General features: G+C 63.1%; 1 protein-coding gene and 1 long non-coding RNA gene across 23 annotated transcripts in view, besides 15 other annotated features; one reads left to right on the plus strand and one right to left on the minus strand.

Annotated features, from left to right (window-relative positions):
* Nucleotides 1–370: a silencer, noted in NCBI's record as "silent region_13952". NCBI's record gives its function as "represses an Ori minimal core promoter by ATAC-STARR-seq in GM12878 lymphoblastoid cells {active_cell/tissue: GM12878}" and the evidence as "EXISTENCE:reporter gene assay evidence [ECO:0000049][PMID:35858748]".
* On the plus strand, nucleotides 198–13,880 carry TRABD (TraB domain containing). 22 transcript variants are annotated; one of them, XM_011530718.3, is made up of 11 exons: nucleotides 198–290; nucleotides 7,312–7,378; nucleotides 7,861–7,939; nucleotides 8,625–8,791; nucleotides 9,185–9,325; nucleotides 11,526–11,636; nucleotides 11,722–11,873; nucleotides 12,108–12,280; nucleotides 12,360–12,471; nucleotides 12,630–12,800; nucleotides 13,401–13,880. In XM_011530718.3, the coding sequence occupies exons 2-11, from the start codon at nucleotides 7,346–7,348 to the stop codon at nucleotides 13,411–13,413; spliced, it is 1,152 nt and encodes a 383-aa protein (XP_011529020.1). In that variant the 5' UTR covers nucleotides 198–290; nucleotides 7,312–7,345; the 3' UTR covers nucleotides 13,414–13,880. The 22 variants fall into 22 exon arrangements, 21 of the variants coding, with proteins under 21 accessions (XP_011529020.1, NP_001365694.1, XP_011529019.1 ...); NM_001378765.1 differs by having other exon boundaries at nucleotides 11,734–11,873; XM_011530717.3 differs by having other exon boundaries at nucleotides 198–286.
* Nucleotides 637–946: a silencer, noted in NCBI's record as "silent region_13953". NCBI's record gives its function as "represses an Ori minimal core promoter by ATAC-STARR-seq in GM12878 lymphoblastoid cells {active_cell/tissue: GM12878}" and the evidence as "EXISTENCE:reporter gene assay evidence [ECO:0000049][PMID:35858748]".
* Nucleotides 1,887–1,936: a silencer, noted in NCBI's record as "silent region_13954". NCBI's record gives its function as "represses an Ori minimal core promoter by ATAC-STARR-seq in GM12878 lymphoblastoid cells {active_cell/tissue: GM12878}" and the evidence as "EXISTENCE:reporter gene assay evidence [ECO:0000049][PMID:35858748]".
* Nucleotides 3,485–3,554: an enhancer, noted in NCBI's record as "active region_19298". NCBI's record gives its function as "activates an Ori minimal core promoter by ATAC-STARR-seq in GM12878 lymphoblastoid cells {active_cell/tissue: GM12878}" and the evidence as "EXISTENCE:reporter gene assay evidence [ECO:0000049][PMID:35858748]".
* Nucleotides 3,605–3,654: an enhancer, noted in NCBI's record as "active region_19299". NCBI's record gives its function as "activates an Ori minimal core promoter by ATAC-STARR-seq in GM12878 lymphoblastoid cells {active_cell/tissue: GM12878}" and the evidence as "EXISTENCE:reporter gene assay evidence [ECO:0000049][PMID:35858748]".
* Nucleotides 3,665–3,724: an enhancer, noted in NCBI's record as "active region_19300". NCBI's record gives its function as "activates an Ori minimal core promoter by ATAC-STARR-seq in GM12878 lymphoblastoid cells {active_cell/tissue: GM12878}" and the evidence as "EXISTENCE:reporter gene assay evidence [ECO:0000049][PMID:35858748]".
* Nucleotides 3,940–4,554: an enhancer, noted in NCBI's record as "H3K27ac-H3K4me1 hESC enhancer chr22:50628084-50628698 (GRCh37/hg19 assembly coordinates)". NCBI's record gives its function as "activates a minimal SCP1, AML or CMV promoter by ChIP-STARR-seq in primed H9 embryonic stem cells {active_cell/tissue: H9 hESC(primed)}" and the evidence as "EXISTENCE:reporter gene assay evidence [ECO:0000049][PMID:30033119]".
* Nucleotides 4,555–5,169: an enhancer, noted in NCBI's record as "H3K27ac-H3K4me1 hESC enhancer chr22:50628699-50629313 (GRCh37/hg19 assembly coordinates)". NCBI's record gives its function as "activates a minimal SCP1, AML or CMV promoter by ChIP-STARR-seq in primed H9 embryonic stem cells {active_cell/tissue: H9 hESC(primed)}" and the evidence as "EXISTENCE:reporter gene assay evidence [ECO:0000049][PMID:30033119]".
* Nucleotides 4,555–5,214: a biological region, named in NCBI's record as "H3K27ac-H3K4me1 hESC enhancer GRCh37_chr22:50628699-50629313".
* Nucleotides 4,855–5,214: an enhancer, noted in NCBI's record as "active region_19301". NCBI's record gives its function as "activates an Ori minimal core promoter by ATAC-STARR-seq in GM12878 lymphoblastoid cells {active_cell/tissue: GM12878}" and the evidence as "EXISTENCE:reporter gene assay evidence [ECO:0000049][PMID:35858748]".
* Nucleotides 5,485–5,704: an enhancer, noted in NCBI's record as "active region_19302". NCBI's record gives its function as "activates an Ori minimal core promoter by ATAC-STARR-seq in GM12878 lymphoblastoid cells {active_cell/tissue: GM12878}" and the evidence as "EXISTENCE:reporter gene assay evidence [ECO:0000049][PMID:35858748]".
* Nucleotides 5,895–6,044: an enhancer, noted in NCBI's record as "active region_19303". NCBI's record gives its function as "activates an Ori minimal core promoter by ATAC-STARR-seq in GM12878 lymphoblastoid cells {active_cell/tissue: GM12878}" and the evidence as "EXISTENCE:reporter gene assay evidence [ECO:0000049][PMID:35858748]".
* Nucleotides 6,195–6,244: a silencer, noted in NCBI's record as "silent region_13955". NCBI's record gives its function as "represses an Ori minimal core promoter by ATAC-STARR-seq in GM12878 lymphoblastoid cells {active_cell/tissue: GM12878}" and the evidence as "EXISTENCE:reporter gene assay evidence [ECO:0000049][PMID:35858748]".
* Nucleotides 6,805–6,854: an enhancer, noted in NCBI's record as "active region_19304". NCBI's record gives its function as "activates an Ori minimal core promoter by ATAC-STARR-seq in GM12878 lymphoblastoid cells {active_cell/tissue: GM12878}" and the evidence as "EXISTENCE:reporter gene assay evidence [ECO:0000049][PMID:35858748]".
* Nucleotides 6,935–7,024: an enhancer, noted in NCBI's record as "active region_19305". NCBI's record gives its function as "activates an Ori minimal core promoter by ATAC-STARR-seq in GM12878 lymphoblastoid cells {active_cell/tissue: GM12878}" and the evidence as "EXISTENCE:reporter gene assay evidence [ECO:0000049][PMID:35858748]".
* The window catches only part of TRABD-AS1 (TRABD antisense RNA 1), a 1,696-nt gene continuing 1,079 nt past the window's right edge, over nucleotides 13,373–13,989 (minus strand). Inside the window, exon 2 of the long non-coding RNA NR_186698.1 lies at nucleotides 13,373–13,613. This is a non-coding gene — a long non-coding RNA (TRABD antisense RNA 1). The remainder of the gene's footprint in view (nucleotides 13,614–13,989) is intronic.

Here is a 13,989-nt window from a genome sequence, read left to right on the forward strand (position 1 = left end):
CCGATGTTCCTTAGGACCCGGGAGCGCCGGGGGGGGGGGGGGGGGCGGGGGCCCCGCGCGCTACCCCCTGGGAAGTGTAGTCCGAAGTTGCGGGCCGGGGCCAAGCAGGAGGCGCGTGGGACTACACTTCCCGGCATGCCACGCGGCCGCCGGCGCCCTCGGCCCGTCCGCCCCGCCCCGCCCCGCGGCCCCAGCCCGCCCCGTCCGTTGAGGGCCCGCGCCGCATGGAGGCCGGCTGAGGAGCGCCGCTGCCTCGCCTCGGTACGCCGCGCGGCGCGGACGGCGCGTGCGTGAGGACGGGGCCCAGCACCGAGCGGGGGGCGGGCCCGGGTCAGGGCCGCGGGGTGACTGTGGGGGGCGGGGGGAGCGAGCCCGAGTCGGGGGGTGGGGGCCGGGGGCGGGGGGGGTCAGGCCCGGGTCAGGTTTTGGGGCCGGGGTAGCAGGTCGTGGGGGTCAGGCCCGGATCAGGTTCAGGTTTTGGGGCCGGGGGAGCAGGTCGTGGGGGTCAGGCCAGGGTCAGATTCAGGGTTTGGGGCTGGTAGACCAGGGTCGTTGGGGGCCGGGCCCGGGTCAGGTTTGGGGGCCGGGGTGGCAGGTCGTTGGGGGGGCCAGGCCCGGGTCAGGTTTTGGAGCCGGGGGAGCAGGTCGTGGGGGTCAGGCCCGGGTCAGGTTTGGGGCGGGAGCAGGCCCCGCGCGTCCCCTGCCACCGCTGCCGGGAGCGGCGCTGCCGAGGAGCGGAGCCCCCCAGGGCTGGGGCGGGGAGGGTCAGCGGCGGCCTCGCGGGAAGGCGCGGGTCGGACCTCGAGTCCCAGGGTCCTCGCGGGTCGGGAGGGCCCCAGCCACCCCCGCCTGCCGCCTGCGGTGGAGCCGGCCGAGGTGAGAGTGGAGGAAGGCGGCCCAGGCCTGCGGGTCTCTGGGGGTGCTGGGGGAGGCCGAGCGGGAGGCCCCGGACCCCCGTTGTCCCCTCCGGCCCCGCTGAAACCTGGGGCTTCGCTCTTCTGTAGGTGCCTTTGCCCTTCAATTGGAGCAGAGCGGGGTTCCCATATGGGCGAAGTGGACGCCAGATCGTCCCCCGCTGTGCGCAGCCCAAACTTAAAAGGTCTTTTTAACTGAGCTATCATGAAGCTGCCGTGTGTCTTTGTCAAAACTCTTACAAGAAAGATGGAGTGGGAGCTGTCTGGGCACTAGCGTCCCAGAAACAACCAGGAACTTGTGGAGGTGCTAAGCTCCCTGCGGGGACTCCCGCAGCCTCGGTAGCCTCCAGATGGAAGCCTCCTAGCTTTCAGGTCCCTGAAGAGGCCGTGCAGGCCGCCAGGCTCACTGCGCTGTGTGTCTCTGCTCCCCGCTTGCTGCCGCCGCCCTTGCAGTGTGACTGGTGGGGATGCTGGCCAGCCTCGCCGGAGGCCCTGATGCTGTGGGGTCCGAGGAGGGGGCCTGGCAGGGTGGGTGGGTGGCAGGAGCCTGTGGGGCCCCCTGCATGGTGGTCAGTGTGGGGGCTCTGCATTGACTGTGACCAGGTCCTGGGAGGTTGGGGGCTGCCAGGTGTGCTGGCAAGGAGGCCTCGGGCTCTGGCTCAGGTGTGTTTCCCGTCTCCCAGCTCTGCCACACCTGCGTGAAGCGGTCCCGCCAAAGCCGGGAGGGGTTTCCTGTGGCCAAAGGTGCCAGGCATCAGAAACAGGAAGCAGGGGAGGTCAAAGCTCTGGGCCACACCCTGGTCCCTCCAAGTTTGTCATTTCTGCAACCCCCAGGTCTGACCAGTTTGGAACCTGGGCTTTCTGAGCCGGTCTAGTGGGTTGGTTGAGAGATGGGGGTTTTTCTGGTAACTGCATTTGGTGCTAGCCAGTTTTTGGTCTGCACTAGGAAGCTAGGCTGCAGTCTGGGAGGCAGTTTCTAGTGGGGTGAAGGGGATAAGATGGGTGTCTTAGCTCTAGCTGCTGTAACAAAGCATCACAGACCAGGAAACTTTAAAAAACAGCAGGCTGGGCTGGGTGTGGTGGTTCACGCCTGTAATCCCAGCACTTTGGGAGGCCGAGGCGGGCAGATCACGAGGTCAGGAGATGGAGACCTTCCTGGCTAACACGGTGAAACCCCGTCTCTACTAAAAAATACAAAAAATTAGCTGGGTGTAGTGGCAGGCGCCTGTAGTCCCAGCTACTCGGGAGGCTGAGGCAGGAGAATGGCGTGAACCCGGGAGGCAGAGCTTGCAGTGAGCCGAGATCATGCCACTGCACTCCAGCGTGGGCAACAGAGTGTGACTCTGTCTCAAAAACAAAAATGAGGTCTTGGCCTGGCGCAGTGGCTCACACCTGTAACCCCAGCACTTTGGGAGGCCGAGGCAGGTGGATCACAAGGTCAGGAGTTCAACACCAGCCTGGCCAAGATGGTGAAACCCCATCTCTACTAAAAATACAAAAATTAGCTGGGGGTGGTGGCGCACGCCTGTAATCCCAGCTACTCGGGAGGCTGAGGCAGGAGAATCGCTTGGACCTCAGGGTGGGGGAGGTTGCAGTGAGCCAAGATCACGCCACCGCACTCCAGCCTGGGCGACAGAGTGACACTCCGTCTCAAATAAAAAAAAAATGAGGTCTCGCTAAGTTGCCCAGACTGGTCTTAAACTCCAGACCTCAGACAATTCTCCTACCTCAGCCTCTCCTGAGTAGCTGGGGCTGTGAGCGAGTAGGCTCCTCCCACCATGCCTCACTGGTGCTGGGAAAAAACTTAACAGAAATTTATTTTCTCAGAGTTCTAGGGGCCGGACATCCCAGATCAAAGGTGCTGGTCCCTGGTTGCCATGCAGCCTCCTGGCTTGTAGACGGGCCCCCGCGGCGTCCTTACCCGGGGGAGCAAGAGCTGCGTGGCGTCTCTTCCAGGAGTACTAACCCCGTCATGGGGGCTATGCACTCATGACCTCATCCGAACCTGATCACCTCCTGGAGGCCCTGCCTTCTAATACCTTCATAGTGGGAGTTAGGGCTCTAACCTGTGGGTTTTGGGGGACACAGTTCAGTCTGTAGCAGTGGGACCTGAGCAGGCAGGTGGGATGCGCTGTCTGAGGCTCCCACTGGATGTCAGGTCCTGGGACAGAAGCCCTGCGGGACATTTCGGATGCAGACAGCCGTCTCTGACGCCAAAGGACTGTAGATGCCGCTCTGATTTTGTGTCCTAGGGCCGCACACCTCAGGCAGAGCCCTAACGGATGGGCTTTTGCGCACAACAGATGTCCTCCTGGGGCTGTTGGGAATTCTCAGAGGCTTCGTCTGCACAGAGGATCATGGTTTCCAAAGCCAGATATCCCTTTTTACAGATGAGGGACAGTGCTTGGAGAACAAGTGTCTTCAGAGGCAGTGTCTAGGGTCTCCTGAAATCGGGCTGCTAAGTCTTTTCTTGCCCTGTGGGTCTCCACCCCGTTCTCTGCCTTCGGGACAGACTGTGCTGCGGCAGAGAAGCTCGAGGCCGAGGCTGACCGCTAAAGCAGCATCTGAATGTGGCTTGTGCTTGCAGCCCAGAGAGGGCCTCCTGTGTGGGGCAGGTGGGATGCTGGCCCTGGAGGCAGGTTCCCGCCTTAAACGGCGGCTCCTGCCCAGAGCATCCTGCCCAGGGTAGCACTGGGGTCTGAGATCTGAGGACCCTGTCTGCCGGCTACCCATGCTCAGGAGGCATGTCCCACAAATCGTGTTCAGCACCCACCCCAGTCCTGCTCGGTGGACGTCCGTGCGGGGCAGGGAGAGTGAAGCACAGCTGGTCTGATACAAGCGTCTGGCTTCCTGCCAGGCTGCACCGCTTCCCAGCGGGTTGGCCTTGCAGGTAACAAGGCCAGAAGCCACTGCGAGGTTCCCTGGGGCAGTGCCAGCACTGGGGATTTGGGAAGGAGAGATGTCTGTCCCCCCGGAGGGGCAGCCAGGGTCTGCTGGTCTCTGCTGATGGGCCTGAGCGTATCTGAAAAGGACAGGTAGAAAGGGGGTGGCTGCAGCGTGCGCTGGCCGGACCCCAGGTGATGCTCTGCTGGGACCCAGAGGGGGTGGCTGCAGTGTGTGCTGGCCGGACCCCAGGTGATGCTCTGCTGGGACCCAGAGGGGGTGGCTGCAGTGTGTGCTGGCCGGACCCCAGGTGATGCTCTGCTGGGACCCAGAGGTTGTGGGGCTGGGAACCAGGTGGGGGTTCTTCAGACATTGTCTCTGAAGACACTTCAGAGTCCAGGCTCAGCATCTGTGGCTTTTGGGCCAGGGCCTTTTGCTCACCGCCAGGCAGCTGGGAGAGGCTCTGGGCCCAGCCATAAATGTCTGAGAGCACAGCTGCCTGGGAGCAGACTAGAGGGAGGAGGGCTGGTAACCTGAAATCACACCCTAGAGCTCTCCAGGGGCCTTGGCGAGGAGGGAAAGAGAGTGTTGAGACTGTAAGAGTGACTGTCAGAGACGTCCCCCAGAATCACGGGCTTTAGGTGCTGGGGGGTCCTCAGTGACCTTCCCGCCTGGCTCCCTGCGGGCAGCACGCCTCTGCTGAGAGGCTGCAGGGGCCAGGGCTGGGGGCTGGCACTGCCTCTGGTGGCGCTGACATCGTCCTGCTCAAGGCTTGGCAGCCGGCCCAGGAAAGCTTCTCTGCCCTCCCTGACAGGAGACCTGTGCACGCCCACCCCATGGCACGACTGGGGTCAGGACCAGCGCCTGCTGCTGCACCGAGACCCTGCCCTGTCCATGGCCACAGGCGTACCCTAGGCCGGCCTCAGAGGCGGGTCTGGCCAGGCTGGGTGGAGGGTGGGGGCTGACCGCAGACCTGGGGCTGCCACACCCATGGGGGAAGGGCTGTGGCGACGTGGGCGCCTCCTGTTGGCTGGGCCGACGCAGCCTCCCGCCCGGCTGCACAGGAGTTTCTTTAAGGAGTTTCCCCGGTGTGCCTCGGCAGCCTTGCGCTGCTCTAATGGTCCGGACTTCCGTGTGTGAGTTTCCCCCGTGCGCCCCGGCAGTCTTGCGCTGCTCCTAAGAGTTCTGGCTTGTGTGTGTAGCTAGACCCAGGGAGGCGGCCGTCTCCCGGACCGGGTGCTTGTCTGGGCTGGCTGGCCTGGCGGCTGCTCACAACAGCTTCCGGTGGGTTCCGGTCGGGTTGCATCGTGGAGCTTTCACCTACAAAAGGGGAAGGAGGCGGCCCAAGGGTCCGGGGCCTGGTCCTGCTGTGACCGGTGCCAGCTGCACTTCCTGGATGTGCCAACCGCTAAGACGCCCAGGCCAGGGTTGGGTCCAGACTCAAGCCCAGGTGGCAAGGAGTGGGACCCCCTGCCAAGGCTGTGAGGCCCCATAGGGGAGCCTGCCTGTGGAGCGGGCCCCCCTTGCCCTCTGCAGAGGCTCAAGGCCCCCGGGGACATGAGCCTGGTGTTTATCAGCTGTCTCCTTAGTCTCAGCTGACCTCCCCCGACCATGGCCCCATTGCACCACCCACCCCAAGCCAGGCCAGTTCCTCTCCCAGAAGTCCCGGCTGTCCAAGAAGAGGGCAGGGTGGGCTGCCCTCTTCTCGGCCAGCTTCAGATGGGGCCTCTGGTTGCACTGAGACAGGCCTCTTCCCCTGCTCAGAGCCGTCCCTGCTCCCCCAGCCCCTGAGCTGCCCTCCTAGACACTGCACAGAGAGCTCCTTCCTGTTCACAGGTTAGGACACCCAAGCTTGGAGGCATCTTAACTTGGATGTGGGTGGCCAGGACCCAGCTGGGTCTGTGAGTCCTGGCTGGGGCCGAGGTCTGTGCCTGCTGTGGCTGTGTGCCAACAGGGTTTGCAGAGGAAAGGAACCTGACATAGCGTCTTATTGCTCATTGTTCCTTTTTCTTATGAGTTCTGAGAAGTGGGCAGCAGTAGTGACATGAAAATGACCCCAGATGCACGCAGGCATCAGTGCAGAACCCGGCAGTGGCCCCTCTGAAGCACATCCTACAAGCCCCGTCGTTTCCTCGCCAGATGCTCGTGTCTGACTGACGCAGACGCTTCAAGACAAAACCACAATACCTTGCACGACTAGACAGCTCAGAATGGTTTCCAACGGCTCATTTTTATTTTTTACTTTTGTTTTTTTCTTGAGACAGAGTCTCCCTCTGTCACCCAGGTTGGAGTGCAGTGACAGGATCTCGGCTCACTGCAACCTCAGCCTCTCGGGTTCAAAGTGATTCTCCTGCCTCAGCCTCCCCAGTAGCTGGGATTACGGGTGTGCACCACCACGCCTGGCTAATTTGTGTATTTTTGGTAGAGATGGGGTTTCACCAGGATGGTCTATGTTGGCCAGGCTGGTCTCGAACTCCTGAGCTCAGGCAGTCCATCCACCTTGGCCCCCCAAAGTGCTGGGATTACAGGTGTGAGCCACCGCGCCTGGCCTGTTTGGGATATTTTAATGATTCTGCCTGGTGACACATCCATCCGCCAGGACATGCATGAGCCATTAACTTGGTAAACAGTCACTCCTGGCATTCCGTGGCTGAGAACATTCAGGAAGAGCCACATGGTGCAGCAGGGCCTGTGGCCAGTCTCAGGACAGCCTGCTGGTCCCTGGCCCCGCCTCGAGGGGCTCCGCGCAGGTCTCGCCGATGCTCTGTGGGTCTTGGCCGGTGCGTGCCTCTGGTGCTGCAGGCGCCTGGCTGTTTTCTTCCTTCCCTCAGGCTCCTGGGCCCCCGGCCTGAGCTCCTGGTTTCTGAGAGTCTGTGGGGAGCTGTGATGCCTCGGGGCAGCCCCCTCGTGTGGCTGCCCCAGCCTGTCCGGGTTTCTACCGTGGTTCCTTCCACACCATGTTTGTCTCTTAAAGTGGGAGAGAAGGTCTTAGGTCCAAACACGTTGATTTGTGTGCTTTGTGGATTCCTCCGTCTGTACTGACTCTGTGCCGGTGTTGTTGCCCAGGCTGTAGTTACTGAAAGGGGAAGTGGCTTTTGTACAAAGGCCCTGGGGTCCTTGCCATGTGTCAGCAGCTGCGTTGCTGTGTCCTGAGATCATGTGTGGACCCCAGGGCTGCCTTCCTATGTGTGCCCGCCGTGCCGCAGTGAGGGTTGGGCAGCTCTGGCCCTGTTCTGAGTGAGGCCTGTGCACCAGCAACCCGCCCTGGGCCCGTCTGCGTTTGGTTTATGCTGGGGTGTCTGGGGACCTGCTGGCCTTTCCCCACCCGGGCCTGACCTGAACCGACCCTGGACCTCAGCAGCCTTTGATGGGCAGGAGGCATTTGGGGATATGGGGGAAGGAGCCCCCAGGCCCACCCAACAGATGGTTCTAGACTGACAGGGCACTACGCAGTGAGTCCTGAGCCAGGTCTGGGGCTCCAGGTGGAAACCCCGCCTCTCATGCCTCTCCTCAGGCTCCCCACAGGTGCAGGAAGCCGCCGCCCAGCCATGGACGGGGAGGAGCAGCAGCCACCGCACGAGGTGAGGTGGAGGCTGGGCTGGCTGCACAGAGACAGGGGCGGGGGGCTTCCCCGCTTTGTGGGCTCTCGGGGTCGGTCCCTGGCTGTTGTTCTGCAAAGGTGATCTTCACAGGGTTCTCCAGGGTCAGGCAGGAGGCACCTCCGAGGGAGAGGGGCGCTGGGCTGAGGTGGCCTGGTGGCCCTGTCTGCCCAGCTTGATGGCAGCCGTGCCAGTGATGGCCAAGCAGGAGGGGTACTGACAGTGTGGGGCCTAGGCTCTACGGAGGCCCTGCTTTTCAGGGTGTGTGGTACACAGAGCGGCCACGGGTCCCTTTCCCGGGTACGTGGTCCGTGGAGCGGTCACGGGCCCTCGTTTTTCAGGGTGTGTGGTCCACACAGCGGCCACGGGTCCCTTTCCAGGGTACGTGGTCCGTGGAGTTGCCACGGAGCCCTGGCTTTCTGGGGTGCATGGACCCTGACTTGAACTCTCCTTTCCACCTGCAGGCCAACGTGGAACCTGTTGTGCCGTCAGAGGCTTCAGAGCCGGTGCCCAGGGTGCTTTCTGGAGACCCCCAGAACCTGTGTACGTGTCCCTCAGGGTCCTGGCACGTTCCCCGGTGTTGGGCTGTTGAGTCAGGGAGGAGGGGGAGGCAGCCAACCACTGCCAGGGGCTTGGAGCTTGTGGTGAGCAGGGGCCCTGGCCGAGACCTGAGGTAGGTGCTGCTAGGCCTGGTGCCACCCAACAGCAGCTGCTCCTGGGCCCTGCCTGGCAGTGGAGCCTCTTGGAGGGGCTGCAAGCAGCACAGGCAGGCCCCTGGGCATGGGGGGCTCGTGAGCACAAGCAGTGTGAGCGGCACGGGAGTCCCTCCTTGCTGTGGCCTCAGCCTGTCCCTCCTGAGTGGGGTGGGGGGGCCCATTTCGCCTCAGAGCCCCTCCCCTAGCTGAGCCCCCTGCGGCACCTGCCCCCACTGTCCCCCACACCGAACCTCATCCACAGCAACCCCCAAGGTCGCCCTCATGGGGTGTATGGGGCACAGGACTCCTGAGGCCCTGGCTTCTCGAAGCCGTGCAGCTCACAGAGGTGGTAGCCGGTGTTCCCATCACTGGGCAGGCAAAGCCTGTGGAGTGTGACGCTCGTCAGGAGTCTTGTGCTCTGCACCTGTTCAGTTCTCAGAACCCAGGAGGGTTCTAGAGCCCAGGCTGCCAGCGGGCCCGGCGGCGTCCTTGGGGTGGGCCCGGCACCACAACGGCCTGTGCTGCTGTTGCAGCCGACGTGGACGCCTTCAACCTGCTCCTGGAGATGAAGCTGAAGCGGCGGCGTCAGCGGCCCAACCTGCCGCGCACTGTGACCCAGTTGGTGGCTGAGGACGGGAGCAGGGTGTACGTGGTGGGGACAGCCCACTTCAGCGACGACAGCAAGAGGGACGTTGTGAAGGTGAGCGCCGCCACCCGCCACATCCCGGACACGGGTTGGTGTAAGCTCCTGTGTCCTGCACTCAGGGACCTCCCGGCAGGGCCCGTGTGCCCGTGTGTGCGCACCGCAGGCCTCCTGCTTCAACACTGTGGTCCCTGGGAGTGGCAAGGTGGGCTTCCTGCCTGGGAGCCGTGACGGCCTTGTGCGTTTTCCCACTTAACAAGTGAACAAGCCTCACAGCTTCCTCTCTCGTCGCTTAGAGAATTGAGCTGTCACTGCAGCAGCGGGGTTAGCTAGCCCTGGGGTGACGCCAAGGCTGGCTGCTCCTGGGATGGGGCCCCTGGTGCTGGCGTCAGCTGTGCTGAGGGGCAGGGAGCGGCTGTGTTCTCGAGGTGTGACCTGTGGCTGTTGCAGACCATCCGGGAGGTGCAGCCTGACGTGGTGGTCGTGGAGCTCTGCCAATATCGTGTGTCCATGCTGAAGATGGACGAGAGCACGCTGCTGCGGGAGGCCCAGGAGCTCAGCCTGGAGAAGCTGCAGCAGGCCGTGAGGCAGGTGCGCAGCCGCGGGCAAGGGTCAGGGTCAGGGTCGGGGTCAAAGCCACCTGTTTGCCTGTTGCCCAGGTTCCTCTCACAGCCCATGCCCCCAGTCAGTGTGGCTGTGCCTGGCCTGCCCTGGGGATTGCCGGGTTAGGGACCTCCCCTGGGCCAGGAGAAATGAAAGAGGCTCCATTACCCGGTTTCAGGCAAGGGAGGAGGAAATGGGTGGCTCTCCAAGCTGAGGCAGGGGCTGGTCACCCGAGGACTGGGTTGCTGAGCAGTTGCTGGGGATGGGTCAGGTCTCAGTGCAAGGTTGGCCCCCCCGGTACCACACCCAGGCCCAAAGTGGGTGGGGCTCAGGGCTCCTCCTGTCCCCACTTCTCCAGCCTTGCAGTGACCGGAGAGGCAGGACTTTCTCATTGCTCTTTGTGTTTTCGGTTTTTGTTTTTTTTTTTTGAGACAGAGTCTCGCTCTGTTGCCCAGGCTGGAGTGCAGTGGTGCGATCTTGGCTCACTGCAACCTTCGCCTCCTGGGTTCTAGTGATGCTCCCGCCTCAGCCTCCTGAGTAGCTGGGATTACAGGTGCCTGCCACCACACCTGGCTAATTTTTTGTATTTTTAGTAGAGACGGGGTTTCACCATGTTGCCCAGGTTCATCTCAAACTCCTGAGCTCAGGCAATCCACCCACCTCAGCCTCCCAAAGTGCTGGGAATACAGGCATGAGCCACCGCGCCCGGCCAGGCTTTGTGTTTTCAAAGGGGGCCCAGCACGCCTGACCCCAGCCCTGGTCAGTTTGCCTTCCCCCTGTTCAAAGGAAACAATTATAATGAGATCTTATAGAAATGTCCCTAAACGTTTGGCGCCTGCCTTTCATTTTTTAATTTCTCCAGATGAGGCAAGTCACCAAAGAAGACCTCTGTGGGCCGTCTTCTAAAGGGCAGTCCCCGGTCCAGCCAGGGCCCAGCACTGGGCAGCCTCCCCACCAGAGCCTGGGGCCCAGTGATCTCGAAGGGGCATAGAATTCGGCAGTGCCGTGCTGCTCACTGCTGCGGTGTCACAGAGGGAAGGGGGCGTGGGGCAGGGTCTGGGAGACACCAGGTGTCCGCTTCACCTGTCCCCTCCCGGGGGACACTCGCTGTGCCCTGGTGTCTAGGTTTCTACTGGGGTTGGTCACAGGCACGTCTGAGCTCAGACCCCAGCCCCTCCAGAGGTGGAGTGGGTCCCAGTGGACCAAGGCCTCGTGAATGTCTCATCCTAAGTTAGCCTGGGCTCCCCAGGGTGGCCTGGGCCCCGGGGAAACACGGGCACTCCATCAGGCGGGACATTCCCAGGGCTCATGGCTCAGGCCCAGACCGTCCCTGGGCGCGTGCAGGTGTGAGCGATTGCCCGGCGCTGTGTGGCCCCCGGGGCTTTGCTGCCCTTCTGTGGGCATCATCTCCTTCACACGTGGACACCCCCGTGGTGCCAGCCGGCCGGTGAGACAGGGGCAATAGGCCTCGGGCTGTAGCTGCTGAAGATGGGGGTGGCCTGGTGTCCGCACCAGCAGTGCTGTGCTGACCTCAGCAGGCAGGTGTGAGTGGTGAGGCCCTTTCTCCAGCCTGCCTGCCCAGCACCCAGCGTCTGTGCCAGCTCAAGGCGGCCCCTTCGCAGAACGAGACTGCCTCATAAAGGCCTTTTCTTCTTCTTTTTTTTTTTTTGAGACAGAGCAGTCTCACTCTGTCACCCAGGCTGGTGATCTCGGCTCACTGCAACCTCTGCCTCCGGGGTTCAAGTGATTCTCCTGCCTCAGCCTCCCGAGTAGCTGGGATTACAGGCACCCGCCAGCACACCCGGCTAATTTTTATATTTTTAGTAGAGATGGGGTTTCGCCATGTTGGCCAGGCTGGTCTGAGAGAGAACTCCTGACCTCGTGATCCGCCTGCCTCAGCCTCCCAAAGTGCTGGGATGACAGGCGTGCGCCACTGCACCCGGCCCGTGAAGGTCTTTTCTGAAGGGAGCTACCTTTGAGAAGTGCCTGTTGGGACAGAACTCCCTGCTCTGGTCTGACCCTCTGCACGCTAGGGTGGTCCTGCACCTGTCGGGGAGGGGGCCAAGGACACAGCACTGGGCTGGGGCAGGGCTCTGCGCTGGTGCTGCCTGCCATCCCAGTTCTGCCATTCCCCCAGCGCACCCCCGCACCCGCCCCTCCAGCTGATGCCTGCTCCCTCTCTCTGCAGAACGGGCTCATGTCGGGGCTGATGCAGATGCTGCTGCTGAAGGTGTCTGCACACATCACCGAGCAGCTGGGCATGGCCCCAGGTGGCGAGTTCAGGGAGGCCTTCAAGGAGGTGGGCACAGGGTGAGGTAGGGGGTGGCCACAGGGATGTGGCTCACAGGGGTGGTCCGGGGTTCCCACTGCTCCCCAACACCCAGCCTCTGCTCCAGGCCAGCAAGGTGCCTTTCTGCAAGTTCCACCTGGGTGACCGACCCATCCCCGTCACCTTCAAGAGGGCCATCGCAGCGCTCTCCTTCTGGCAGAAGGTCAGGCTGGCTTGGGGCCTGTGCTTCCTGTCAGACCCCATCAGGTAGGGCTGCCCCCGGGACCCTGGCCGGCCTGCAGGGTGGTCTGTGGGAGGCTCCAGGCCCTCCTGTGCAGGTCCAAGCGCAGCCAATCCTCACTCAAGGCCTTCCCTGCCCTTTCCTTCCGCCACAAATCCCAAACAAACGTGCTGTGGTCCCTGCCCGGTGTCCACAGTGCCAGCCCCACCCCCCCAGCCCGTTGCCCATCCCTGCGGGGCTGCAGCCATCCCTCTCCACAGCAAGGATGACGTGGAACGCTGCAAGCAGAAGGACCTACTGGAGCAGATGATGGCCGAGATGATTGGCGAGTTCCCAGACCTGCACCGCACCATCGTCTCGGAGCGCGACGTCTACCTAACCTACATGCTGCGCCAGGCCGCGCGGCGCCTCGAGCTGCCTCGGGCCTCTGACGGTGACGGCCGCCCGCAGGCGTGGGACCCCCTGTGAGGCTGAGGCCCGAGCAGGTACTGACCCCTTGTCCTTCCCCACAGCCGAGCCCAGGAAGTGCGTCCCCTCCGTGGTCGTGGGCGTCGTGGGCATGGGCCACGTGCCTGGCATCGAGAAGAACTGGAGCACCGACCTCAACATCCAGGAGATCATGACGTGAGTGCCCGCCCCTCCCTGCAAGCCCCACCCCACAAGCCCCCAGGTGGAGGCTGAGCGCCCTGGAGGCCAACCACATGCGGCAGTGACCCAGGCATGGGGGCTGGGGTATGGGGAGCCCACCCCCAGCCAGGCCCAGCGCCCCCTCCCTCCCACAGCGTGCCCCCGCCGTCCGTCTCCGGCAGAGTGTCTCGGTTGGCCGTGAAGGCCGCCTTCTTCGGCCTGCTGGGCTACAGCCTGTACTGGATGGGCCGCCGCACCGCGAGCCTGGTCCTGTCGCTGCCCGCCGCGCAGTACTGCCTGCAGAGGGTGACCGAGGCCCGGCACAAGTAGGAGACTGCTCCCCGCCCGCTCGGGCCCCTGAGGAGCCAGTGCCCCCGCGGCACTTCTGGGTGCCAGGTGCATCCTAGCCCGCCCGAGGCCCCTGCCACCCCCCATGGGGGTCTGGGCCCGGCCTCGCCTGCCCTCCTGGGCCAGTCACCCCTCCCCCAGCCCACCCAAATAAAGGATTATTTAACTGTCTGAGCTCAGGCCTCCCGGCAGCCCCTCCCCTCCCACACTGCAGGGGCCGTTCCCCAGCTTCTGGACAAGACACCCAGCTCCGAGGGGGCAGGGGCTTATAGGAGGGGCCGAGGCGTGCGCTGCCCTCTCAGCCCTGGTGGCAGGCGGGGGACAATGGCCACTGTCCCTACCTCACTGTGCCTTCCTGTGCTCCGGCCACAGGAGCGTCGGCCCAGGGGCGGCTCCTGGGGGCTCCAGGGCAGGCGAGACTGGGAAAGGCCCAGCCCTGGAGCTCCAGCCGACCCCACCGTGCCCCTGGCATCCTGGCCCTGGCCGCCACCTCCCTGGCACCGTCTGCCTGCAGGGATTCTGTGTTTTTGGCTTTTTTAATGTCTTAAAATCTTTTACTCAGGTAATTTTAATTTCAGAGAGAAAAACTGAAGTAAATGTCAAAAAACACCAGCCTTAAATCCAAAGGGAGAGAATTCGTGTTCTTGGGTCTGTCCCGAGTGGGCTCGCGTGCAGCCAAACATCAGCTCTGGGTCCAGGCGTGGCCTCAGCTGGGAGCCTGTGTCCTGAGCCCCCGGAGCGAAGGGGTGCCTGGGGCATCTTGGCCCTCTCTGGGCAGACAATGTGTGCACCTATGTGGAAGGCCAAGGACATGGGCTGTGGCCAGGCCTGTCCCGCTCAGGCCCCCTGCCCGGCGGCCGTCTGTGTGCGGGGCCTCCCTCCTGGCTGTCCAGGACACAGCCCGTGCAGCCCCAGCCTGGACCCAGGCCATCTCTGGTTGTGTCTGTGCCGACTCGGTGTTGAATCAAATCAGGTGTGCGTCAGGAGCCGGCTGTGTCCTTCCTGCCACACTCGGGGATTCATTCCTTAGAAACTGAAATAAATTCTAATTTTGGAAACTCCTGTTTTGTGACGTGTGAACATGGGGTTCAGGTAATGAAGGATCCCTGCCTCTTCCCCCGTGCTCCAGTGCAGCGGGTACTCGTGGCCCTGCCGGGGCCCTGGGGG

This window comes from Homo sapiens, chromosome 22 (assembly GCF_000001405.40).
Source record: "Homo sapiens chromosome 22, GRCh38.p14 Primary Assembly".
NCBI classification, from domain to species: Eukaryota; Metazoa; Chordata; class Mammalia; order Primates; family Hominidae; genus Homo; species Homo sapiens.